A 27988-nucleotide genomic window follows, 5' to 3' on the forward strand; every position below is an offset into this window, starting at 1 on the left:
ACAAACTAGCATCAGAGAATACTACAAACATCTACGCCAATAAACTAGAAAGTCTAGAAGAAATGGATAAATTCCTCAACACATACACCCTCCCAAGACTAAACCAGGAAGAAGTTGAATCTCTGAATAGGCCAATAACAGGATCTGAAATTGTGGCAATAATCAGTAGCTTACCAACCAAAAAGAGTCCAGGACCAGATGGATTCACAGCCGAATTCTACCAGAGGTACAAGGAGGAACTGGTACCATTCCTTCTGAAACTATTCCAATCAATAGAAAAAGAGGGAATCCTCCCTAACTCATTTTCTGAGGCCAGCATCATCCTGATACCAAAGCCGGGCAGAGACACAACCAAAAAAGAGAATTTTAGACCAATATCCTTGATGAACATTGATGCAAAAATCCTCAATAAAACACTGGCAAACCGAATCCAGCAGCACATCAAAAAGCTTATCCACCATGATCAAGTGGGCTTCATCCCTGGGATGCAAGGCTGGTTCAATATACGCAAATCAATAAATGTAATCAAGCACATAAACAGAACCAAAGACAAAAATGACACGATTATCTCAATAGATGCAGAAAAGGCCTTTGACAAAATTCAACAACCCTTCATACTAAAAACTCTCAATAAATTAGGTATTGATGGGACGTATCTCAAAATAATAAGAGCTATCTATGACAAACCCACAGCCAATATCATACTGAATGGGGAAAAACTGGAAGCATTCCCTTTGAAAACTGGCACAAGACAGTTTTCAAAGGAAAACTTTGAAACCTCTATCACCACGCCTATTCAACATAGTGTTGGAAGTTCTGGCCAGGGCAATTAGGCAGGAGAAGGAAATAAAGGGTATTCAATTAGGAAAAGAGCAAGTCAAATTGTCCCTGTTTGCAGATGATATGATTTTATATGTAGAAAACCCCATTGTCTCAGCCCAAAATCTCCTTAAGCTGATAAGCAACTTCAGCAAAGTCTCAGGATACAAAATCAATGTACAAAAATCACAAGCATTCTTATACACCAATAACAGACAAACAGAGAGCCAAATCATGAGTGAACTCCCATTCACAATTGCTTCAAAGAGAATAAAATACCTAGGAATCCACCTTACAAGGGATGTGAAGGACCTCTTCAAGGAGAACTACAAACCACTGCTCAATGAAATAAAAGAGGATACAAACAAATGGAAGAACATTCCATGCTCATGGGTAGGAAGAGTCAATATCGTGAAAATGGCCATACTGCCCAAGGTAATTTATAGATTCAATGCCATCCCCATCAAGCTACCAATGACTTTCTTCACAGAATTGGAAAAAACTACTTTAAAGTTCATATGGAACCAAAAAAGAGCCCGCATCACCAAGGCAATCCTAAGCCAAAAGAACACAGCTGGAGGCATCACGCTACCTGACTTCAAACTATACTACAAGGCTACAGTAACCAAAACAGCATGGTACTGGTACCAAAACAGAGATATAGATCAATGGAACAGAACAGAGCCCTCAGAAATAACGCCACATATCTACAACTATCTGATCTTTGACAAACCTGAGAAAAACAAGCAATGGGGAAGGGATTCCCTATTTAATAAATGGTGCTGGGAAAACTGGCTAGCCATATGTAGAAAGCTGAAACTGGATCCCTTCCTTACACCTTATACAAAGATCAATTCAAGATGGATTAAAGACTTAAACGTTAGACCTAAAACCATAAAAACCCTAGAAGAAAACCTAGGCATTACCATTCAGGACATAGGCATGGGCAAGGACTTCATGTCTAAAACACCAAAAGCAATGGCAACAAAAGCCAAAAGTGACAAATGGGATCTAATTAAACTAAAGAGCTTCTGCACAGCAAAAGAAACTACCATCAGAGTGAACAGGCAACCCACAAAATGGGAAAAAATTTTCGCAACCTATTCATCTGACAAAGGGCTAATATCCAGAATCTACAATGAACTCAAACAAATTTACAAGAAAAAAACAAACAACCCCATCAAAAAGTGGGCAAAGGACATGAATAGACACTTCTCAAAAGAAGACATTTATGCAGTCAAAAAACACATGAAAAAATGCTCATCATCACTGGCCATCAGAGAAATGCAAATCAAAACCACAATGAGATATCATCTCACACCAGTTAGAATGGCAATCATTAAGAAGTCGGGAAACAACAGGTGCTGGAGAGGATGTGGAGAAATAGGAACACTTTTACATTGTTGGTGGGACTGTAAACTAGTTCAACCATTGTGGAAGTCAGTGTGGCGATTCCTCAGGGATCTAGAATTACAAATACCATTTGACCCAGCCATCCCATTACTGGGTATATACCCAAAGGATATAAATCATGCTGCTATAAAGACACATGCACTCATATGTTTATTGCGGCACTATTCACAATAGCAAAGACTTGGAACCAACCCAAATGTCCAACAATGATAGACTGGATTAAGAAAATGTGGCACATATACACCATGGAATACTATGCAGCCATAAAAAATGATGAGTTCATGTCCTTTGTAGGGACATGGATGAAATTGGAAATCATCATTCTCAATAAACTATTGCAAGAACAAAAAACCAGACACCACATATTCTCACTCATAGGTGGGAATTGAACAATGGGAACACATGGACACAGGAGAGGGAACATCACACTCTGGGGACTGTTGTGGGGTGGGAGGAGGGGGGAGGGATAGCACTGGGAGATATACCTAATGCTAGATGACGAGTTAGTGGGTGCAGCGCACCAACATGTCACATGTATACATATGTACCTAACCTGCACATTGTGCACATGTACCCTAAACTTAAAGTATAATTAAAAAAAAAACAGTTAAAGAATTAGAATAAGCTTTCCTTAGAATGTCTTTTTTTTTAAATTTTTTCTTTATAAAGCTATTTTATAAATGCTTAAAATAAAGTGATCTCATCTAAAATTGAAACATTGTATTTCAGATACAGGTACACCTAATGTTAGTAAGAAGGGTTTTTATTTACAGATAATTTGGTGATAATAAATATCTTCAGTAAACTTTGCTATGACTTTTAAAAAAACTTTATGACTAACTCTATGATTTTTCCAGTGTTAAAAGGATTCCAAGTTGATTCTAAAATCAAAGAACAGACAGAAGTTCAAGTGGGTTGTAAACTTGGCAAAAACATGTTTTACCAAGAAAAAAGGAAAACGAATCCCATCTAAAAATCTGTGACTATGTGTATGCATCTTTGGGCTTTCTTTTTGTAAAAGCAAAGTTCTTTAAAAAAGAATCATAACATCACATAAAGTAATGAAATATACTTTGTGTGACTAAAGATATTAAAATTGCTTTTTAAAATTAGGCCAACTGCATAACTCCTTTTGAAGAGTTCATTGGTAAAAAGTCACCTAGTGACCATAATCATGCTTTAACTTTGGGTGTGTAACCTTATGTTCTAAGAAGTGTCACTGATAACTTTTAAAATTATCATAATTAATCTGGTACTATTTAGATAGAAGTAAGTTTTCCCACTATATTTCTGTTTGCATTTTACTATTTCCTTTCTGTAGTATGCTTCCCTTTGCTGTCATGAATATCACAAAGATGGATACAACTGTTTAATTTTATATTTTTCCTGCAGTAGTTATTCAGAATTTCTCTTCTGAATAGTTTTTAGCATTTGAATCAAAACAGTTTTTGACATGTCGGTGACACCATGCTGTAAAGGAGGAGTCAGTGCTTCTGGATCCCTAAAGGGACTTAGTTTTAAATGTGCCCCAAAACTCTTGTTGTGGCAGTTTTCATCTTTATAAGGGCTACTACTACACATGCTCAGAGTTCATTCTCAGAACATTAGCCTATAAACTTTGAAAGAGCAGAGGCACAGTCTTAGTCTCCATTGTATCCCCTTATCTAGCACATTGCCTAACACACAGTAAGCACCCAACAGAAAAATGTTTGTTTGTGGGATAAACAAATAAATATAGCAAGCTTTCTTCTAGAAAGTGGATGGTCACCCAGCTTGAAGATTATTTATTTTATTTCAATGCTTAGGCAGTATGCCTTATGAATTATGTATGTCTAAAACACATATGTTGAGGAAGGTGTTCTGGAGTATTTCTTATTACTATGAAATACAATTCAAAAGTACTCCTAGTGTTTTCCATTACCATCTATTTTATCCTTATTTGGATTTTGTCCACTGGAGAAGCTCCTCAATGGCTGGGCTGTGTCTTTCAGTATTCCCCGTTGTCCATGCAGTGCCTGGCACAGAGCAGCCAATCAATCAGTAAATGATTGTTACATGAATAAGTGAGACTACATCAAATAATTTTATCAAAATTTAAAATGGGTTGGAATCAGTAAAAAGTAATATTGGGGATGCAAACAAAAAAGAGTGACATCATGGAAGATATTCTTTAGAGAATCATCAAAATGTAAGTGAAGACCAGACATGGTGGCTCATGCCTATAATCCCAGCTCTTTGGGAGGTCAAGGCAGGAGGATCACTGACGCCCAGGAGTTCAAGACCAGCCTGGGCAACATGGCAATACCCCATCTCTACAAAAAAATAAAAAATTAGTCCAATGGGATGGTGCACACCTGTAGTCCCAGCTTCTCAGGAGGCTGAGGCAGGAGGATTGCTTGAGCCCAGGAGGTCATGGCTACGCAGTAAGCTGCGATCATGCCACTGCAATCCAGCCTGAGCAACAGAGCAAGACACTGTCTCAAAAAAAAAAAAAAAAAAAAAAAATTCAGTAAACAGGTCAGAAATGAAAGTGACTAAACTTGACAGAATGGAAAGCAGTGTCTCAGTCCTCTGCACATCTTTCTTTTAAGCTTGGGTGGTTTATGTCCCTAAAAACAAAAACTTCCTTTTTATTAAAAAGGAGATTAATTGGAATTAAAATGAAAAGATACAATTTTAAGTGAATACTAAGTTGTCTGGTTATTGTACTATGAGTATCATTCAGGCAAGAAAGAGCATATCCAAAAGGGTTTAACTGAAGAGAGTTTTAGAAAGGGGCTATTTACTGAAGTGGGTGGGATTCAAGGAACCAACAAGAAATGTGGAAGCACCTCAAGGTTAATAAGAGCAGAAAGTCTTTGTCACCCCAGGCCTAAAAAAGCAGAGGGAGCCGACTACTGGAGCCTGTGAAAGTTGGAGCCTGAGAAGAGAGACCTCTCAAAAAGAGCTCTCACAATAAAGGACGGCAGCCATTTTCAAAAAGTGCCCTGAAGGAGGGAGTGGTCAATAAATAATCCATGTTCTTTCTTCTGCCCTTCAATCTCCTACTCCTACCGGTGCCTCCCATTGATGGAACACAAGAGAAAGCCTGGAGCACAGGCAGGGCAGAGAATGATCAGAATAGAAGGTAACAGGGGCAAGGAAGGACAAATAGAGAATAGCCAACAAACGACTGGTCTCCCTGAGAATGCCTTCTGACTCTGATGGAGCCAGGAATCCCACATCTGTCCCCCAGAATGCAGCTAGGAAGAGAAACACAAGCGTGATTCCTTTTTTTTTTTTCTTTTTTTTTCTTTTTTTGAGGAGTCTCGCTCTGTCACTCGGGATGGAGTACAGTGGCGCGACCTCAGCTCACTGCAAGCTCTGCTTCCCGGGTTCACGCCATTCTCCTGCCTCAGCCTCCCCAGCAGCTGGGACTACAGGCGCCCGCCACCACGCCCCGCTAATTTTTGTATTTTTAGTAGAGACAGGGTTTCACCGTGTTAGCCAGGATGGTCTCAATCTCCTGACCTTGTGATCCGCCCGCCTCGGCCTCCGAAAGTGCTGGGATTACAGGCTTGAGCCACCGCGCCCGGCCTGAGCGTGATTCTTGATGGAAACTTTAGTTCTTCAGCTTGGTAACTACGAAATGTGAGGAAATGGGCTGCCTTGTAAAAGCACTATTTCTTCTTACTGTCTGAACATTTGATGTAATCCCTGCCAATCAACCAGTGGACTCAACAAGGACAATGTTTCCTCCCAGCTAGCTTCACAAGAGGAAAAAACAAAAACAAAAAAACATTTGGACTGGTTATCACTAGAACTGTGGTACTTGAATCAGTAGAAAAATTAAAGTCTCCAAAAAAATTGGCGTTACAAAATTTGAAACCTATCTATTGTCTCAGGTGGTCATGGGACATTGTTCACTTAGCCCTGGAAACTTCTATCCTTCTATTTCTGTAAAATATGAGTAAGCACTGGATCTAAATTAAAATTTGTCATTGCACTCTTCCAGGACATTGCATGCACATTTGCTATTCAAAATCGGATCTGCCCTCCTTTTTGTCTCAGGAATATCTACTAAGTATCTATGTAGACAAAGAAGATATGTGTGTTTAAACAACACAATCTTTATATAGATTCATATAAATGTTCTGTTTCAGAAATATTTAATTGGATTAAGATTCTAACTTGCTTCATTCCAAGTCCCTGCATTACCAAACCCCTGATTACTCCATGCCACGAAGCTCCAGGCACAATGGCCTGTTTTCCTTCCCCTGGACAGAAACACAGCTTGTAGGGAGGGGGAATAGAAACAGTTATCATTAGGTTGTGCCCTCTGAACATATTACTCTAAAGGATATTTTTCAACAATTTTTAAGGTAGTATTTTGATATGACAGTTTTTAAGAAAATGATATGAAAAGATGCTAGAGGAAGCAGTGCGAATTTTATCTTTCAAAATACAATGGTCAGACCATGGGTCCATAGAGAATGTTTTCCTTGCTCACTCACCTCTCAAAAAGCATCCTCATATTAGATGCCAGAAGATAGTGGAGGTGCATAGTTGTATTTTAAAGTAGAAATTTTGCAACTCACGAATTGTGTGCCTTTCAAGTTGTCATATGAAGCAACACTTCAGATAAGAAAGGCCTCAGGAAATAGAGCATCCATATATTCTTCCTGAAAAAGAAATGTCAAAGATGTACACCAGCGTACTGAATTAGGAAGTCTTGCTTAAAAGGACAGGTAAGGCAAAGTCTAAAGAATTGTAAAATATACAAACATGATATAAATATAATAAATATCATGAATATTTTTAAAAGAGAAGAAACACACACACACAAAATTGCTAGATCTAAAATCCTAGATTATATCATAGAAAGCTGAATGACAGAAGAAAATGAAATTGTCAACAAATACTGATTAATTGGGGAGTTAATAGGTACTTGTTTAATTCTTGGTGTTTGAAATATGTTTGAATTTTTGATGTTACTACTAATTAAATTTAAAAACATAGTATTTGTTATATGAGTTCTAAATTACCAGAGGAAAAGAGGCAATCAAAGAAAATAGAGTCTACTTGGCAAAAAAAAAAAAAAAAAACATTGAAAATTAATCATATTAGTAATACTACCAAATATTGAGTGCCAGGAACTATGCTAAGTGTTTTACATTATCTCCTTTAATCCTCACTTAAGTCTCTGAGATAACAATTTATGATGCAGTTCAAAATCAGGCCTACTTAAATGTGAAGTTATACTCTGTCTTTATTAATACATCAGTAGGATGACAAATAGATTAAAACTTGTGTCCCAATTCTCATTGATTAGTATTAGCTATTAGTAATGTTGAACTAATAAAGATTCTGAGGCTGAATTTCAGCTCAGCAGAAAAGACTGGATTATGGATTATTAGTGATGCCTACTTTCAGAACAACAGGGAAGATCTGCATCGAGTATGTCACATATTTACCAATCAGTTATAAAAATAGATATAAAATTACAAACAATAAGACTAAATATATAGCTTATGAAAATAGTTATAGATGGAATAAATGAACCTACAAAGAAAAAGACTCAAAAGGTCATTAAGAAATTTTATCTACATTTAAAATAAAGAATCAAAGAGATGTTAAAAGCAAAATGAATGGGCAAAATATACCAAAAAGTATGTCAATGAAAACAAAAAGAAAACAGGAATTACAACATTATTAGATAGTGCTGAATTCAAGAAAAAAATACATACAAAAATGTATGAAATAAGACCAAAGCTAGGATGAGAGGTAGAAACAGTCTTTTTAGAGAATATGGAAGGAACATAAATTGTTCAGTTGGTGACATTAGAAAAACAAGTTATTAACTCAAGAAGTAGGTATCCAGAAATATCAATAACTATTGAAGAAATTAAAAGTTTTTAAAAAGTTTCATCTTTTAAGGTATACCATTGTCAGCAGTTTTATGGCTAAGCTCTTTTAACATTATAAGAAAATAATACTACCTAAGCCTTCCAAACTGCGGAAGAGCAGATAAAAAAAAAGAGAAACCTATCAATTGTTTTTTACAGAAGTGGCACAATTATGCTACCAAAATCTGGGGGCAAAAGGCATGTGCTCACAAACACATATGCGTGCGTGCACACACAGACACACAAATCATAATTTTTGATAAGAAAAATTCACATTATATGAAAAACAAGATATAAAATGTGTATTAGGATTATTATTTTACAAAACACAGACATATAAATGTGCACAAACAAAATGCCCTAAATACATAGAAAGATTTTAGTCATTTTCTTACGTGGTTAGGTTATAATGATCTTTATTTTTTATTTATGATTTTTTATTTTTCCAAATTTTCTTTACCACCTTGTATTACTTCTATCATACTGAAAAGCAAGAGTATTGAGCCAAAGATAAGTTAATTTTACAGAAGCGGATTTTTCTTTAATGATGAAGGAAGGTTATTTTGACTGAAGAACAAAGGGACTGCTAGACCTGGAGCAACGGAAGGAAGGAAAGAAGGGAGGAAGAAAGGAAGGGAAGAATTCCTAGGCTGTAAGACCTTGAAACCAAAACCTCAGGAGAGTGCTAATGGAAGTAATTCAAATGTTACGTAGAAATCTTCATAGGATAGAGACTCTTCTGCCTGAGACTTTTGGCATAGAAAAATAATTAGCTTGTCTCAGGATTATTTTCAATAACTACTACTATTTTCAGTCTTTCTTCGGTTTTAGGATGAGAGTCAAGATATATACAAGCTCCGTGATGGCAGGTACCTTTGATGACGCCGGCCGACCAGTGTCCAGCACAGCAGAGGGCCCTGCAGGTCCCAGTGACCACCTGTTAGGAATGAAGGCTTCCAGTAGAAGGTTCCACCATGCTCTTTCCCTGTGGCTTATTCTCTTCAGAATATTAACAGTGACTTGTCCTACAGCAAGAATGTTTTTCAATGCCATAGACAACACAGATCAATTTCAGAATGAAGATTAAAATTATCCTTGACAGAGGCAGGGCGTGGTGGCTCACACCTGTAATCCCAGCACTTTGGGTGGCTGAGGCAGGTGGATCATGAGGTCAGGCGATCAAGACCATCCTGGCTAACACGGTGAAACTCCATCTCTACTAAAAAAACAATAAATTAGCCAGGCGTGGTGGCACGTGCCTGTAGTCCCAGCTACTTGAGAGGCTGAAACAGGAGAATCGCTTGAACCCGGGAGGCAGAGTTGCAATGAGCCGAGATTGTGCCACTGCACTCCAGCCTGGGTGACAGAGCGAGACTCCTTCTCAAAAAATAAATAAATAAAAATAAAAATTATCCATGACAGGATGGAACCATGGTCCCAAACAAGCTAGATCAAATTTCACAAGGATATAAACTAAACCATTCACTTAGGTTTCTAAACATTTATTTATTGATTTCAAAATAGAGACTGATATCAGTGTAACCCAACACTGGGAACACAACTTCTGACTAAACTAACACAACCTTAGGCTGTGTGTATGGAAGTGAAATCTAGCAGCAGGAAAAGAGCAGTCCTCCTCGTTTCCATGTTGGTCAGACCGTCATCCCTACTACTGAAGCCCAGCTGGGTGACAGGTTTTACAGCAAGCATTAAGTAAGAGCCTATTCAAAAGTACAAGACACAAACAGCCTGAAAAGCCTGCCCTGTGAGAGCTGATTTAAAGGGTCTGGGGAGATTTTTATTTTTATTTATTTATTTATTCATTCATTTATTTATTTATTTGAGACAGAGTCTCACTCTGTCGCCAGGCTGGAGTGCTGTGGCGCGATCTTGGCTCACTGCAACCTCCGACTCCCTGGTTCAAGTGATTCTCCTGCCTCAGCCTCCCGAGTAACTGGGATTACAGGTGGGCACCATCATGCCCAGCTAATTTTTGTATTTTTAGTAAAGACAGGGTTTCACCATGTTGGCCAGGCTGGTCTCTATCTCCTGACCTCGTGATCTGCCTGCCTCAGCCTCCCAAAGTGCTGGGATTACAGGCGTGAGCTACCGCGACCGGCCAGGTCTGGGGAGATTTACGCTGAGGAGAAAGGCCTGGAGAGTCCAAGCGAGCTGTCTTTGGGAAAGGAGTTCGACACATTCTGCACTACTCCAAGGAGCAGAGCTATGACCGACAAATGTAAAATGCTAAGGTAGAGGTGGCCAATACAAAGACGAATTTCCTAAAACGTATGATGCTCTCTGACCAGATAGGAGTCATTGCTTGTCACCAAAAGTGAGTAAGCACTAGCTAAATGACCATCTATAAGGAGTGTTCTGGAAGGGAGGTGGCACCATCCTGTCTTCCAACCTGGGGAACATAGAGAGGTTTTGTTTGTTCTACAAAACATTGAAAATTAATTTTGTAAAATGCCTTAGAAGGAACAACTGCTCTCTGGTCTGAACAATTCACACTACCGCCCATTGTCCTGAAGTCTAGCTGTTTCACATATTTATGCCACCTGCCCAGCTCTTAAAGGCATTGGCATTTGCCTAATCTCTAATGTCCATTCCAACTCTAGGCTAACTTGCTTGGTGACTCAGCTTCACCACAGAGCTGTCACAGAATTTTGTACCATTGGAGGACAGAAGAGATAGGAACTTGACCATAAAATAGTTAAAGTAGAATTGATTGATGAAGACAGTTAACTTCAAACAGTCTGAGGTTGAAACATTTCTCTTGCTCTACACAACTTTATCACACTTGACACCCCATCACCTCTGCTTTTTCTCCCTCTTCCCATGTAACTTTCAATTTTATAGCTTCTGTGAACTCAGACTATTTTAAACAGGAACTTTCCACCTAGAATTCAGAAGCTTTTATTACCAGACCAGCCCAGCCCAGAAAAGCAGGTTGACTTTTCTTACTAATTTTAGCCATTCCAAAGGTCCTTTGGCAGGGACCAGGTTCTTCCACTCTGTGGTTGGTGTAATGCTGCCATCTGGTGATTATTCCCACAAAGTGCCTGAGGCGTCTGTCTCCTCCTAGGCAGAAATGTTTCCCAACTTACAAGTCAGTAGAGTAGTCCTGCCCCAAGCAGGGTCCCCCTAATTGGGAGGGTAAAATTCATCTCCATGAAGACACTTGTGTGCTGAAAATGGTAATTTCTAATTAATATTAGTATTAACCATGATTATTATTAATGATACGAAGATTGAGTTATAACAGATAATATTAATAATGATGTCCTGCAGCAAAAATTTACATATAACATTATGTAGCCTATATATTATTAGAAATATATTACTGGATATTATCCTTATTGCAACCCCACAAGTAACATAGTATTACCATATTCATTACTTTCCCTATGAGGGGACAGACTCAGAGAGAGTAAGAGGCAAGCTCCAGATCACACAGCCTCTAAGTAGGAGAGTCAGAATCAGACTCCAGTAGAGCAGGCTTCAAATTTTCTAGATGGTTCAGCATGGAGCCTAACTAGATTTCAATAGCATCCAGTGTACAGAAGTGGACCCCCTTAAGCTATGGGATAGGCAGGATGGGGGAACCAGCAGTCTAAGGAGGCATGAAAAAAATTGTGCAGGGCTTGGTGGTGGTGAAGGATTCCATTTACACAACTGGTTTGGAACAGGATTCAGCTGGCAATAGAATGCTTAGGTGATAAGATCTAGCTGGAGGAAAAGGACTGGTAGGTGCCAGGTGGGAAGTCAAGGCCCCACTGGAGCAGAGTAAGGAAGAACTGTGGCTCCTTCGGCATATTGAGTGCCTAGGGAAAATGCCACTGAGGGCAATGAGACGTCTCAAGTTCCCCTAGTCTTGGCTTAGCTAGCTGAAGGAACTGGGTGGGGTGGGATTGGCCAGGCGTGCTGGTACCACTGCCATTACTCTTGCCAGATGCCATATTGCCTTCCCTAAAGGCAATGTATTACATATTAGGTGTGATATGTTATATTACATATTAGGTGTGAGGGTGTGGGAGTGATAAATGATGTACATTTGTATTTGTCTGTTTGTTTAATAATCCATCATGGCCATTCTGAGCTAGGTGATTTCTCATCCTTTGTCTCATTTAATTTCTATGACTCTAAGGGAATATTTAGAATTTGGAAATCCTACATCTAGATGTGCATAGTCTGGTTGTTGAGAAGGTACTCTATAAAGAGAAAGGATTTTTAGCCTCTTGAAGAAACTAAACCATCAGTAACCTGGCCCACATTTTGCTTGGTGAATCTCTCAAAACGATTGACATGCAGGCATTTCACTTCTAAAACAAACACAAGATAAATAAGCCTCTACACCTGAGAGAACTATGCCCAATTCCACCATTTGATCTCATCATTCAAGTGAGGTTCCCAATGTCTGATTTTTTATTGCTTGAGTTTCAAACATTGGTTTGTTTTTTGTGCTTTACACAAGTACAGTTAATGAAAGGCAACAGTTATATCACAAGTATACCTCTTTTGGAGGAAATTACTCTTTCTACCTTTTAGGGACCCTTTGTAGTTGTTTATTTTCATTTGGACCAGTGTATTAGGCCGTTCTCATGCTGCTATGAAGAAATACCCAAGACTGGGTAATTTATGAAGAAAAGAGGTTTAAATGAGAACACATGGACACAGGGAGGGGAACACCACACATTGGGGCTTGTAAGGGGAGGGCGGGGGTCAGAGGAGAGGAACAGGAAAAATAGCTAATGCATGCCAGGCTTAATACCTAGGTGATTGGCCGATAGGTGCAGCAAACCACCATGGCACAAGTTTACCTATGTAATAAACCTGCACATCCTGCACACATACCCTGGAACTTAAAATAATTTTTTTTAAAAAAAGAAAAGAGGTTTAATTGACCCACAGTTCTGTGTGGCTGGGGAGGCCTCAGGAAACTTACAATCACGGCAGAAGGCACTTTTTCACAGGGCAGCAGGAGAGAGAATGAGAGCTAGCAGGGGAAATGCCAGATGCTTATAAAACCATCAGATCTCATGAGAACTCACTCACTGTCACAAGAATAGCATGGGGGTGGCAAACCGCCCCCATAATTCAATTACCTCCCACCAGGTCCCTCCCATGACATGTGGGGATTATGGGAACTACAATTCAAGATGAAATTTGGGTGGGGACACAGCTATGCCATATCAACCAGACTGGTATAAACTAGCCAGCACATGGACAAATGGGCTCTAACATATCACTCTGTGCTAGTGTTCTAACGTATAATTTCATCCATTCATTGTAAGAGGGTTAATAGCAAACATTGCATATGAAGCTTATATTCAAGAATAGTAACTGCTTCGAGATTGTTTGAAAAGTTGAAATAATAATAATGATGTATGGAGAGTCCTTCAGTTTGTTGTACAAGTCTTGCATCAAAACATATAGAAAAAGCAATAGGTTCGAAAGTCTGTCTTGTCCATCTTTTACCAAGGCTCAACCTCTTCTGCTGAATATCTTTGGTTCCCCTAATGCCTATATAGTCTGGGAGTGGGAGTGAGAAGTGGAAGTTAGTCCTGTCTCACGCTCTCCTATCCCATACTTTGTCTACTGCAGAGGGAGAACTAACAGGCTGTGGGCCCAGAAGCACATAAAGGGATCTTTTTTTTTTAAAAATTTTATTATTATTATACTTTAAGTTTTAGGGTACATGTGCGTAATGTGCAGGTTTGTTACATATGTATACATGTGCCATGTTGGTGTGCTGCACCCATTAACTCATCATTCAGCATTAGATATATCTCCTAATGCTATCCCTCCCCCCTCCCCCCTCCCCCCACCCGACAACAGTCCCTGGTGTGTGATGTTCCCCTTCCTGTATCCATGTGTTCTTATTGTTCAGTTCCCACCTATGAGTGAGAACATGCGGTGTTTGGTTTTTCATCCTTGCGATAGTTTGCTGAGAATGATGGTTTCCAGCTTCATCCATGTCCCTACAAAGGACATGAATTCATCATTTTTTTATGGCTGCATAGAATTCCATGGTGTATATGTGCCACATTTTCTTAATCCAGTCTATCGTTGTTGGACATTTGGGTTGGTTCCAAGTCTTTGCTATTGTGAATAGTGCCGCAATAAACATACGTGTGCATGTGTCTTTATAGCAGCATGATTTATAGTCCTTTGGGTGTATACCCAGTAATGGGATGGCTGGGTCAAATGGTATTTCTAGTTGTAGATCCCTGAGGAATCGCCACACTGACTTCCACAATGGTTGAACTAGTTTACAGTCCCACCAACAGTGTAAAAGTGTTCCTATTTCTCCACATCCTCTCCAGCACCTGTTGTTTCCTGACTTTTTAATGATCGCCAGTCTAACTGGTGTGAGATGGTATCTCATTGTGGTTTTGATTTGCATTTCTCTGATGGCCAGTGATGATGAGCATTTTTTCATGTGTCTTTTGGCTGCATTAATGTCTTCTTTTGAGAAGTGTCTGTTCATATCCTTTACCCACTTTTTGATGGGGTTGTTTGTTTTTTCTCGTAAATTTGTTTGAGTTCATTGTAGATTCTGGATATTAGCCCTTTGTCAGATGAGTAGATTGCGAAAATTTTCTCCCATTCTGTAGGTTGCTTGTTCACTCTGATGGTAGTTTCTATTGCTGTGCAGAAGCTCTTTAGTTTGATTAGATCCCATTTGTCAATTTTGGCTTTTGTTGCCATTGCTTTTAGTGTTTTAGACATGAAGTCCTTGCCCATGCCTATGTCCTGAACAGTATTGCCTAGGTTTTCTTCTAGGGTTTTTATGGTTTTAGGTCTAACATGTAAGTCTTTAATCCATCTTGAATTAATTTTTGTATAAGGTGTAAGGAAGGGATCCAGTTTCAGCTTTCTACAGATGGCTAGCCAGTTTTCCCAACACCATTTATTAAATAGGGAATCAGGAAGTTCATGTGGAAAATTCTTCAGGATGGGCTGCCCTCTCAACAGGTTATTAAGCAGAGGGGCTCCCACCAAAGTGTGCAGGGCCATTTGCATAGTACTGAAAAAACATTTAAAGTTCTGCATTGAGCTTTTGAAAGGTTACTGCAAGAATCATCATGAATTTTGTACCCACAGTTGATATAAGGAGGAAAACGGGTGGTATTTTTGCTAACCCTAAAGGAAACTGAAAAGTTTTAATATGGATTGAACTAATTATAACAAAGGCAGTGAAGTCTTAAATATTACACTAGTAAATTTCTTATAATAAATATATAGTGAGTATACACTATTTCCTCTGACAACACTAAACAGCTGTTCTATTACTCAGGTTAAAGGCTCTGTAAAAGTCGCACATCAGAGTTAAAGGAAAATCAGGCAGCACCTTTTCTACAAACTATCCGGTTTTATAATAACAGGTGTTTATGTTTGTAGACTTTTCTAGGTTTTTGTTATAAATCCCACACGACATTGTTAATTTTTTTTGTTTAAATAGTCAATTATCTTTTTTAAAGATGTAGATAATAAATAAATAAAATATTCAGTGCTTACCCACATGATTTTTCCTTTCAATACCCTAAAGATGTTACTCAACTGTCTTCTTACTTGGATTATTTCCAATGAGAAATCTGCCATCCTTATCTTTGTTAACTCGATATGTAATGTTCCTTTTCTCTGGTTGATTTTAAGGGTTTTTATAAAAAGTCATTGGTGTTGGGTAATTTTTCTTTCTTTTGTTTTTCGTTTGTTTGTTTTTTTGAGATGGAGACTTGCTCTGTCGCCCAGGCTGGAGTGGAGTGACCCAATCTCAGCTTACTACAACCTCCACCTCCCAGGTTCGAGCAATTCTTTTGCCTTAGCCTCCCAAGTAGCTGGGATTACAGGCACCTGCCACCACACCCGCTAATTTTTGTATTTTTTGGTAGACACGGGATTTCACCATGTTGGCCAGGCTGGTCTTGAACTCCTGACCTCAGGTGATCTGCCTGCCTCGGCCTCCCAAAGTGCTGGGATTACAGGTGTGAGCCACTGCGCCCAGCCAGTAATTTGATTTTCATGTGCCTTGGTGTAGTTTTCTTCATGTTTCTGGTGCTTGGAGTTTGTTGGACTTTGTGAAACAAACTTTTCTTTGAAACATTTCTTCAAAAGCTTTCCCTCCTCTTTGGGATTTTTCAGTTACCTATACCTGAGGCTACTTGGACTTGTCTCATCACTTGCTGATGCATTTTCGTTTTAAAAAGTATTTTCTTTTTTTAAATCTCTATGTTTCATTTGGGATAGCTTCTTATGACCATGTCTTCATGTCACTAATCTTTTCTTCTGCAGTCTCTAATCTGCTATATATATCCAGTATAAATTTTACTGGAGACGTTGTTTTCATCTCTAGACATTCAATTTGGGTTTTTTTTAAATATCTTGCATATATCCACTTAACATAGTTCATCTTTCCTCTAGCTTCTTGAACATACAGGATATAGTTTTTCTTTTGTTTGTTTGTTTTTGTTTTTTTTTTTTTTTTGAGATGGAGTCTCACTCTGTCTCCCAGGCTGGAGTGCAGTGGCGCAATCTCAGCTCACTGAAAGCTCTGCCTCCCGGGTTCATGCCATTCTCCTGCCTCAGCCTCCCAAGTATCTGGGACTACAGGTGCCTGCCACCATGCCCGGCTAATTTTTAGTATTTTTAGTAGAGACGGGGTTTCACTGTGTTAGCCAGGCTCGTCTTGAACTCCTGACCTCGTGATCTGCCTGCCTCAGCCTCCCAAAGTGCTGGGATTACAGGTGTGAGCCACTGTACCCAGGATATAGTTTTAATAAATGTTTTAATGCTCTTTCTTAATTGATAATTCTAAGATCTGCATTAGTCTTAGGGTGGTTTCAATTGATTGATTTTTCTCCTCATAATGGATCATATGTTCCTGCTTCTTTGCACACCTATTATTTTTTAATATATGCCACACATTTGGATTTTACCATATAGGTGGTAGATAGTACTATATTCCCATAAATATTCTTTTGCTTATGTCTTGGACACAAGTTACTTGGAAACAGTTTAAGTCTTTCAGGTCTTGCTTTTAAGGCTCATTAGGTGGGACCAGAGCAGCGGTCATTCTAAGGCTAATTATTTCTTACTCCTGAAGCAAGACACTTCTGAGTATTCTACCCCTCAATGTCCTGTGAAATAGGAGGTTTTGCATCTGGCTGGTGGGCACATTCCCTATTCCAGGCTCTGGATGAGTACTGGGCAGTGTTTCCCCTGATCCTTTCTGATGGTTCTCTTCCCAGCTTTTGGTGGTTTCTCACATGCATGAGCTCATCAGTACTCAGCTGAATACTCAAGAGAGACCCTCTAGAGTTCTCTCTGTGTGCAGCTCCTTCCTCTCCTCTGTGTGCCCTTTGAACTCTAGCTGGCTCAGTCTTTTTGGACTCCTAGCTCTGTTTCCTCAGCTTCAAGTGTCTGCAAGGCTCAGCCTGGGTTCCCCCTTCTCATGCCAAGACCTGTAAACTCTCTCAAAGCGCTAAGCTGGGTAACTATAGGGTTCAGATCACTTGTTCCTGTTTCTCAAGGACTGCTGTCTGTAACTGTCTGAGGTCCATTGTCTCGAAAAACTTTTTTTTTTTTTTCCACATATCTTGTCTAGTTTTTCAGTTGGTTCGGGTAGGAGGAAAAATCTAGTCCCTATTACTACAGCTTTCCAGAAGCAGAAGTCTCATTTAGATCTATGACTTGCAAATATTTTCTATTTTTTTACCCTTAACTGTGTAACAAGAGGCAATGGCTAGGTCAAAAATATGCATTCTCAAAATTTTGCTCAAAGTTTCTCAATCTCTCTAGGATTGAGCTATTTTAAAATGTATGCCCTCTGATTTTTAGCTTTTAGTTTTGTTTGAGGCTGAATTAAAGAGTGTGGAGTTTATAATGTTTAATTATACAAAATTGAGCCATTACTTTCTCTTGACTTTGGCCTCAGGCTGAGGTAGCTGGGGTTTGGGCTGGGTTGGCCAGCTCTGAGACTGTCTCCACTTGCTGTCTTTGCTCAGACACATGGACCGTTAAGGCTCTCAGGCATTGTTGTCTACAGGGAGAAGAATGATGCTGCTCTTGTGAGTGGAACTGTCCTTCAAGGTGAGGTCCAGCAGAGATCTAAGCAGAGGCTGGGATCATTTCCCTCCCTTGAACTCTTCGTCAGCAGTTGTTCAAGCAAAGGCAAATCCCCTATTTATCACTTAGGTACCAAATACTCAAGCATTGTATCTATGGACAATCAACTGTTTCCCCTTAATTCACTTCCCACACACATACCTAATCTCCCAGGACAGACAAGGCTCCTCCCTCTGCTCCTTGTATTCTAAGGAGGCCACCTTGCAACCCCCTTCCTCCTGAGAGACTTCCTATTAGAGCCTATACTGTGGTATAACTGAAAGCATTTCTCATTAAAGAAGAGAAAAAAAAATCCATAATTTAATCTTTAGCATGGTGACACTCTGGTAGCCAACTATTTCCCCCACAATATATAACTTAATATTTACGTAAGAATCTACAGATAGATTTAACATTTCATGGATGCTCCTGTTTACAAAGTCATAACCTGCCCACACGTGACTTTGCCCTTTCTCTGCATGTCCCAGCCTCTTCTGGTGGCAAGAGCAGTGATCTAAAACATGAGCACAAACTTGTAGTCATAGAAATAGTCCAGCTGAAGCTAGCAAAGGGTACTTATCCAAACTTTAGTAAAAAGAACAAGAATATGTATATATACACACACACAAATATATAAAATGTGGTCTTTCATTATTTTATTAGTGTGGCATTTAAGGCATATGTGTTTCCTTCTGGATTTTCTTTCCCTTAGTAAAGATTCATCTCACAACCATATTGTTATTTGGTTTTGAGAGACATTAGTTTCTCTTCCTTCGTTTCAGGTTTTATTCTTTGTATCAGGAAACCAGTGATGCAATTTTAACTGAACTCTCTGACAATCGAGAAAAAAATGTCCTTGGAATTCCCTCATTTGTTTTTTCTTCCACACAGTGGGCATTTCTGCAGGATCCATGGTGTGTCAGGCACCTAGAGGGGTTGATCCAAGTCCTGCTGGCTGCGTGTTTTCCCTTTAATAACCTCAAGACCTCTTTCATTCTGCAGGTGCCAGGGTGGACAGAGCAAATAGCTGCCAGTCTGACAGCAGCGGGTTCCTGGAGGAGCCGCTGGAACCGCTGCCCCTCCAGGTAGGAGGGTTTGGAACAGGGCCCTGTTGCTCATCCCTAACATCCCACTTCAGCCCTATCAACCAGGCTGCCACCCAAACCTCACTCACAGCTAACTCAGAAAGAGGGGTGTTTTAAATCAAGCCACAATTGGAAAGGTTGAGAAGGCACAAGCCACCTGCACCCAAGGGGCAGAGGATGATGGAGTCATATTAGACAAGGTGCCGGAAAGTGTGGCCTTCCTTTCCTTTTGACTTTTCTAAGCAAGGAGGCTGAGCCTCCTAGAGAGGAGGACCTTGGTAAAGAGGTAAACAGATGCAAAACCTGATGTTGCAACCCTTATCTCCTGACTCCTAAGGCAATGACAAGAAGAAAATCTCACCTTAAACCTATTGCCTCCTCCACTTCCTGACCTGTTTCCCTTTGTCCTGGTTTCCCCTACAGATGCCTTCCTTGCCAAACAGCCAGAGTCCTGCTGAGAATGGAGGTAGAAAGCCAAGAGATCAGAGCCACAGCTTAGTATCATCCCAGGACTGTCAGCTAGAGTCGGATGGGCCAGATTCCAAAAGTAGGGCGAGCATGTCTTTTTCAAGCCAAGAAGCGAATGCCTTGGAACAAAGGGCCTCAGTATCTGTGATGGAGGAAGAGTTTCTGCTTGAGGCCATGGAGGGGCCACCAGAGCTGTATATCCCAGACATGGCCTGTGCCAAGACCACCACGAGGGGAGAATGCCCAAGGAAAGACAGCCATCTGTGGCAGCTTCTGCCAATGCCCCATGCTGAGTATGAGGTCACCAGACCCACAGCCACTTCCAAATATGATCATCCTCTGGGGTTTATGGTAACCCACGTCACAGAAATGCAGGACAGTTTTGTGAGGCCTGAGGGAGCTGGCAAAGTGCAAAGCCACCACAATGAGTCTCAAAGGTCACCTGGAAATGATCATACTCAAGACAAGTTCCTTCATGTTGACTCTGAGGCCCCACGAGAAGAGGAAAGCAGTGGATTCTGTCCTCACACCAACCACAGCTTACTCGTACCAGAAAGCTCATCACAGTGTATCCCCAAGCACAGTGAAATCACACCTTATGCAACTGACCTTGCTCAAACATCTGAAAAGCTCATTCCCCACCTCCATAAACTGCCTGGAGATCCTGCCCAGGTGAAGTCAAGGTCTGGTACTTTGGGTCAGATACTACCTGGGACAGAAGCTGAGATGGAAAACCTTCCTCTAAATACTGGCAGCTCCAGGTCTGTAATGACCCAGATGTCCTCCAGCCTGGTGTCGGCTGCTCAGAGGGCTGTGGCCTTGGGGACTGGTCCCAGAGGAACATCTTTAGAATGCACTGTGTGTGATCCTGTTACCGCAACAGAAACAAGACTGGGGACAAAAGCAAGACAGTTAAATGATGCTTCCATTCAGACTTCAGCTCTAAGCAACAAGACCTTGACACATGGGCCCCAGCCCCTCACCAAATCCGTCTCTCTAGACTCAGGCTTCTCTAGTATCTGCCCAATGGGCACCTGCCATGCTATACCTGCCCACTGCTGCATCTGCTGTCATCACCACCCTCACTGCCACGGGGAGAGGCAAAGCCCTGGCCCTGAACCCTCAGTCTGTAGGCACTGCCTGTGTTCACTAACTGGTCACCAGGAAGCCCAGTTCATGACGACTTTGAAAGCCCTTCAGGACACTACAGTGAGGGAGCTATGTTCCGTAAGTGTTCACCCTGGCAAAGATGGAAAGGCAGATGCACCCGTGATAAACACCTCAGGGATAATATTCAGACTTCCTTGCTGAATGCAAGATCTCAGGGCAAACTTTTCTATTTTAAATCATGAATAACATTTGTAGAGTGCTTTATTGTTTATGATATAGTATCACACATTTCTTCTCGATACTTCCAATCAATCACCTTTAGAAATAAGCAAAGCAAATTTTATCATTAATCATCATTTTACAGAAAGGAAAACTAAGGGGTAGAGCCATGCATTCATATGTCTAAGGTTATAAGCATTAATGCATCTGTAACTCATCTCCAGTTCTAGCTGAGAAGTTCTGTGTCTTAAATTCGTTTAGCTATATAATCTTGCACAAGCCATTTAATCTTTTTGTAAAATAGGGAGACTATTCATGCACTGACACAGGATTGTTTTAGGATTAAATAAGAAGAACCCTGTAAAGCACTCAGCCCAGCATGTGGCACATGGAAATCTCTAGGTAATGTTAATTGTGTGGGTGTGTTACTCTTATATGTGTTACTCTTATAATCAATTTTTGTGACTGTTTTACATTGTTCAGGTCTTGAACTTAGAGCTTCCCACGTCAAATAGAGGGGCTTTTGGTCTACCTTTGCTGAGCCTATTTAAAGGTGGACCCTATAGTTACTGAGGACTAAATGGCTCCAGCCTTCTCTAGCCCTTGATTAATCAGTAATTGTTTAATGAGCCCTTCCAGTACCTCCTTTTTAGTAAGTTTTTAAGGTAAGAAATGATCTAGGCTTTCAGGGCCAGCCATTGATTAAAAAATTAAGACTATTGCACATAAAACCACTTGTATAGAGAGTTGAAAAGGTGAAGGGGCTGGCACAGAGAATATAGGTTGCAGCTATTCAGAGCGGGGTGAAGTGGAACCACGATTTACTGAGCACCTTCTGTTTAGTGCCTACTGAGTTACCTTCCCATTCTCTTAATTCCACAAATATTTAGTGAGTGTCTATGCTGACCATTTTCTGTTATGTCATTTAACCTTCATTTTAATCCATTCCATAAATATTTGTTGGGCTCCTAATATATGCCAGGTCCTTCCTCCTTTATAGACAAGGAAACTAGAACTGAGAGAGTTTAAATAATTATCTCAATGCCTCCTAATGACTAAGTGGGAAGTCCAAATTCAGATTCAATTTGGGTAACAGTAAATTGCTTGACATTACAGTATAAGCAAAGAAGTGTCCGACTTTAAAATATCTAAATCTATGTAAGTGTAGAATTAACATTAGAAAGTGATTATTTGAAAGATAAAGCAAATTACTACTTGGCCTTTCAATGTATAGAAATCACATTACATAAATGTGATGTAAAGAGAGTGATTACAGGAAAGTTTAAATAATTTATCAGATCATTTTTTAATTGCAAGACTCCCAGGCATTTGGAATATTTTTATATGAACCTAATATTAGTGAGAGTTGAACAGGTAAGAGAAAGCTTCATTTAGGCATAGTGATCAGTTCTAGGTATATTTTCCAAAAGTTCAGTGGAAGAAAAGAACAAAACCTAATGTATGCTGGGTGGTTCTTGAGTATCAAAAGACTTTGGTTCAAATCCTGGGTAACAGTAGGGTCGTCATCACCATAACCATCATCACCACCACCCACCACCACCATCATCATTATTTACATCATTTGTTGAGGGGATTTTAAATGCCCTAAGTAAATGGTTTTCAACTGGGGATAATTTCCCACCCCTGAACTCCCAGATGACATTTCGTGATGTTTGGAGACATTTTTAGTTGTCACAACGGGAGGGGGGTGGTTGCTACTGGCAACAAGTGGGTAGAGGCCAGGAATGCTGCAAAACATCCTAAAATACAGAGAACAGCCACCACAACAATGAATTCTTTGGCCCAAAATGTCAGTAGTGTCAAGGCTGTAAAACTCAGCTCTAAGAGAATAAACATTTACCCGATCACGTAGTTTGTAAGGGGAAAATGTTAGGGATGAAAGATAGCTGGAGAAGGTGACATTTTGAGAGGCCGTATGGGGGAAAATATTAAATCCTAGAATTAGGTACTCCAGTTTTCACAAAGAAAGGCTGGTTGTTGGTCTAACATAGGAATGCACATCCCGAAAAAAGATTATTTTTCTAATTTACGTTTAAGACAAGCATTACAAAGATTTTAAGTCATATTTAGTTGTCTATTTTGTTAAAAATAACAAAATTGTGTTCAAAACTCCAGGAGAAATGGTTTTTCTAGACCTGTTTAATCCATCAGGCAAACCACAGCACCCAGAGAGCATGACTGGTCAGTAGCACAGCCCAGTAAGACCATTAATGTAAAAGGTTTGAGAGTCTGTGAGGTACTAGGGGTGTCCTGATGAATTTGCAGGAGCATGGTTCTGGGGATTGAAAGTGTGAGTGGGCCTCCAGCACCTGGGAGCAGATTCGCAGGTAGAAGGATTGCAGCTTCTCCGAGGAAGGTAGGCTGGAAAGAGTAAGAGGTGGCCCTGGGGGAAAAGGCACAGGAACCCAGAGCCAGATTCCTCATGGTAAGGACATTATTCAGAATAGGAGCAGAAGATTAAACCTGGGCCAGCTCCAGGGTGACCAAGTGTGGACCCGAGCTCTTCTTATTCCTCCTTCCTAGTGTCAAAAGAGGGCTTTGGGCATGAGTAGCCCCAGCTGTGTGGAGAGATTTGGCAGCTGGAAATAGATGTTCCTCCTGATTTGACACTTTGTCATATCAGCACTCCTGCAGAAAACAGGGAGGTTTTGTGGCCCATTATGCTCAGTAACTGTCCTCAGACGTGGGTAGATTTTAAACAAGTAGGAGTTTGAATGGGTGTGAGGGCCACCATCCGAAAGCTTCTAATGCCTTGTCTCCTATTGCCTTCACCTTCTTTCCTCTTAGAATTTGCAATTATACAAAAAAAGGTACTTTTATATCCAGTTGATTTGACATCATACACCTGCTGAAATGGATGCTATATAAGGTTTTACCAGATGACAATGAATTTCCCTTTATTAACATCCAAAGAAATAGAAAAAAATACACTCAAAGAAAACAATTCAAACATACACACATATACGTGTGCATATTTATACTCCTATGCAGGCATACATATGCACACAGGCGCATGTGCTGGAAAGCAAGTGGAAATAAGAGATTGCATTCCTCCATGACAGGAGACCGCTTAAAGACATTTAAAGCACAAAGAGAACAAGTTAGTGCATGCAGCAACATCTACTAAGAGTGAGCCTGGGTTTGTAAGGCCTGAAAACTGTTCTGAAGAAAATTGGCTTTAAATTAGATGCCAAGTGCTAGACAGGGCTAGAAAAAATATTTACGAAAATATTAACAGGACATAGCTCTTGGACCAAGTGAAGATTATAAGCAGAGATGGACATCTCTTAGAAGATAATGGGAGGCCAGGCATGGTGGCTCACGCCTGTAATCCCAACACTTTGGGAGGCCAAGATGGGTGGATCACCTGAGGTTAGGGCTTCGAGAACAGCCTGGCCAACATGGCAAAACCCCGTCTCCATTAAAACTACAAAAAAAAAAAAAAAAATTAACTGGGTGTGGTGGTGTGTGCCTATAATCCCAGCTACTTGGAAGGCTGAGGCAAGAGAATCACTTGAACCTGGGAGGCGGAGACTGCAGTGAGGTGAGATCATGCCACTGCACTCCAGCCTGAGCAACAGAGAGAGTCTCCGTCTCAAAAAAAAAAAAAAAAAAAAAAGAAGAGGAAGAAGAAGACGATGACGACAACGACGACGACAATGGGAGTTCTGAGCAGATGTTGAAACTAAGAGCAATTTTAGGTAAAGGACTTGAAGACTCAAAAACATCATTATCTTACCCCCCTAATATAGCAATATATAACACTGCAGATAAACATTTGACTAATTGATAAATGCCATTTTTGTGGCCTTTTTGGGTTGTCTAGGGTAATGATTTGTTGATATAATTAAATTTTCACATATAAGTGAGTTATTTGCAATAATTTGTTAATTCAAAAAAATGGTTTGTTGGTATAACTAAATTGTTATATATAGGTAAATTCTTCAGGATAATTTGTTAATTTTAAAAAGTGTTAATTCAAAAAAAATTCCAGAAAAGAAAATGAGATCTATCAGAAATAAGATTTCTGAATATTAGAAGTGCTTCCATATTGTTTATGATTTAGTTTTAGAGAAAAGTAAAAGTACACAAATAAGAAAAAGTAATATGAGCATATTCAAAGTGAAAATTCATTGTCTTTTGGTGATGGTGCTCTTACCATTGAAGTTAAAGTTTGTTTCAATGGGTTTGGGTCAGTAGAGCAGAACTTGCATTTGGTATTTGGGTTATAATCAAGCCTTTATATTGTAAGAAAAAGAAGAAGAAGAAAAAGAAGAAATGTTCAAAACACTCTATTTTTGAGGGTTTTTATTTATTTTTTTTCTCACCTACAGTTTTCTTTATTATGAAATCATTTCTATACTTATTCTAGGGCTAAAATGTGTTTTTCCATGTTTCCAAATAACCAGAAGATGGCAGCATTTCAGAATCTTCCACATCCCTCCACCATTCTCAGAGAGCAAACACTCCATCAGTTATTCCCAAACCAAAACACCCCAGTCTTATACCTTTCAATCACAAAAGGCTACCCCAAAATAACTACATGAGCATAAAATTCAATGTTTATGATGTTCAGCCTATTTGAGCACTACACTTCCATGATCCTGGCGTCACTGTCCCCAGAACTTTGAAGTGAATTTGAACCAGTTGGGAAGTCTTGGTTACCTGATGGGAAGCTACTAGAACCACTCAAACAGCTCGCTGCTAAGGGACAAGCAACTTATCCTTGTGTTCAGCTATACTGTGGTCCCTGCTGTGACTCAGATCTTAGAAGAAAAGAAATGAAACAAGAGATGGGTTCGAAATCTTACTGCCATTTTTTGACCACAGACAAGTTAACTAGCCATTCTATGTCAGAACACGTATCTATAACAGATGCCCTTCATGGTCTACAAGATCTTTTCTGGTCTTAAGAGCCATAATCTAGCATTCCTGCCAACATCAGTATCACTTCAGAGATTCCCTAAGTGTTTCAAATTCACTCACATTGATGCAAGAGTAATTGCAAAATTGCAAAATTGATGCAAGAGCTTTACTATGCAAAATACGTTATTCAGTATAAAAGCGAGAGGATAGAATCAAAACCAAACTCCAAAACCAAAATATGGAGAGTTTTCAATATAAAAACATTACTCTTAGGAAAGTATTTCCATTATGACAATTCTGGTAAAAATAGCCATCCGGCTGCCAGGATGTTGGCCATGTAGTTTAGAGAGGAAGGGTAAGAAATCTCAGACTTCCTAGAAACAGGGCTAGAGGAGTCCACCTAGCTGTAAAGTTGGTCTCCATGGAAGGAGGAAGAAGAGAAGCTTCAAAACAGCCAGCCTGCAAGATCAGTTTCCTTTAAAGCACACCACAGAAGCCCCACAGCATGCTCTCTGTTCCCAGCTCACTGGCCATTGTCTCTACAAGGAATGCTGGGAAATGTAATTTTTTAGCTAGACACATGGATGCCTCTAAAGTATTCTTGTTAACAAGAATAAAGGAGAGAAAGATTGTGAGTAGTCAACTAGCAGCCTCTGCTACACTGATTTTGGGAAGGGGTCCAAGCCTGTGGGTCTGATAGAGATGGCTTTAGGGCCTAACAAGCATTAATATTACTCAAAGTCAAATGGTTAGTGGCCCTGGAGTTCTGGGTCATGGATTTCAAAGCATGATCCAACCCAGGATGCAAAACAAAGGGGATAGCTGGTAAGAACTCAGCAAGTCATCAGAGTGCCGGCAAATGGACTGGGCTTGGAGGTGCCAAAGGTAAATAGCTTTAGTTAAAGCCATGAAAACAGATTGTGTTCAGCAACTACTGACAGCAGGGGAAAGAGCTGAGCTCCACTCCAATTTGTGCAGAGGTGATTTGGGCATTCTAAAGAGAGAATAAGGGAGGGTGAAGAGTAGGGGCTCAGTAGAGTCAGAAAAGTGAAAAATCACAAAGAATTGGTCCATGTCAATGCCATTAGACCAACTGTGTTTGTGAGCCAGCAGTAACTGAAGTTAGGATTCTGCCCTCCTAGAGACCGGGGACAGAGGCCCAAACCTTCTAGATGATTACATTTCAAAGGAGTGGCTCTCAGGTCCTTGAGAGAGACACTTGTGAGTTGTAAGAAATACATATTTACAATTATAATCAACATTTAATAAATACTCTTAGAAAGGGCCTATGTCAGGTGTTGGCGAAAGCAAACAGTAAATTTTCCTGGCAGCCTTTAGATTTCTCAGTCAGGCTTTTTATTGGGGGATGGGGAGGTTAAGGTCATCCCAGGGACACAGCCTTGTGCTGCTGGGAGGCAGACTGGAGGGTGGTCAAGTCTGTTAGTGGAGAGTTCCAAAGTTCTCAGGAGCTGCAGGAATATATTTAAATGAGAAAACCAAGGCAAAGGCACAGCCTGAGAGAGAAAGTAAGAGTTAAACGATGACTACATCAGGAGCAATGGGAAGGATTAAAAGCGTAGACAAAGTTCAATTCTAGATTCCAACTCCTGGAGATGACAGGATGCCTAACCTTTGCCTGCCTTCCTCAGGGTGGGCTTGTTAGGTGGATGAAGCTGATCCTGCAGATTCCAACCTCCAGGACTGTGACTAAGCAGGACTAAGACTAATAAACATTATTCTAAGCAGATTTTCTTTAATCAAACACATACCAGCTGAACAGATGTGTTCAATGTTATTGATACTCAGAGTGAGGCAGTACCCAGCAACAAAGTTAAACAAGATTAAACAGACTCAATTTCTCACAAACCCTTACTCTGGCACTTCCCCTCCTCTCTTCTACCTACATCCTTGCATCCCTATGTCACCTAGGCCTCCAGACTGCCTTCCAGCCTCTGGGACACAATGATTGTCACCCAAAGGCCACCCAACAAC

General features: G+C 40.1%; 2 protein-coding genes across 16 annotated transcripts in view; one reads left to right on the forward strand and one right to left on the reverse strand.

Annotated features, from left to right (window-relative positions):
- The window catches only part of ITPRID1 (ITPR interacting domain containing 1), a 144631-nt gene that overhangs the window by 108857 nt on the left and 7786 nt on the right, over positions 1-27988 (forward strand). For all 8 annotated transcript variants that reach the window (NR_047565.3, XM_011515213.3, XM_017011872.3 and 5 more), the window contains 2 exons: positions 19230-19312; positions 19736-21007. Coding sequence is in view for 7 of the 8 variants with exons in the window: in XM_011515213.3 (XP_011513515.1) it covers positions 19230-19312; positions 19736-21007 (1355 nt within the window). In the remaining variant the exon portion in view is untranslated. The remainder of the gene's footprint in view (positions 1-19229; positions 19313-19735; positions 21008-27988) is intronic.
- PDE1C (phosphodiesterase 1C) overlaps positions 1-27988 on the reverse strand; it is an 811448-nt gene that overhangs the window by 6170 nt on the left and 777290 nt on the right. For 4 of the 8 annotated variants that reach the window (XR_007060044.1, XM_047420443.1, XM_047420442.1 and 1 more), the window contains one exon: positions 6810-6893. Coding sequence is in view for 3 of the 8 variants with exons in the window: in XM_047420443.1 (XP_047276399.1) it covers positions 6849-6893 (45 nt within the window). In the remaining 5 variants the exon portion in view is untranslated. Of the gene's footprint in view, positions 1-4153; positions 4248-6725; positions 6894-27988 lie in introns of all 8 variants that reach the window. The other 4 variants (XR_001744802.1, XR_007060042.1, XR_007060043.1 and 1 more) reach the window with 2 other exon arrangements.

Source organism: Homo sapiens, chromosome 7, assembly GCF_000001405.40.
Source record: "Homo sapiens chromosome 7, GRCh38.p14 Primary Assembly".
Lineage (NCBI taxonomy): Eukaryota > Metazoa > Chordata > Mammalia > Primates > Hominidae > Homo > Homo sapiens.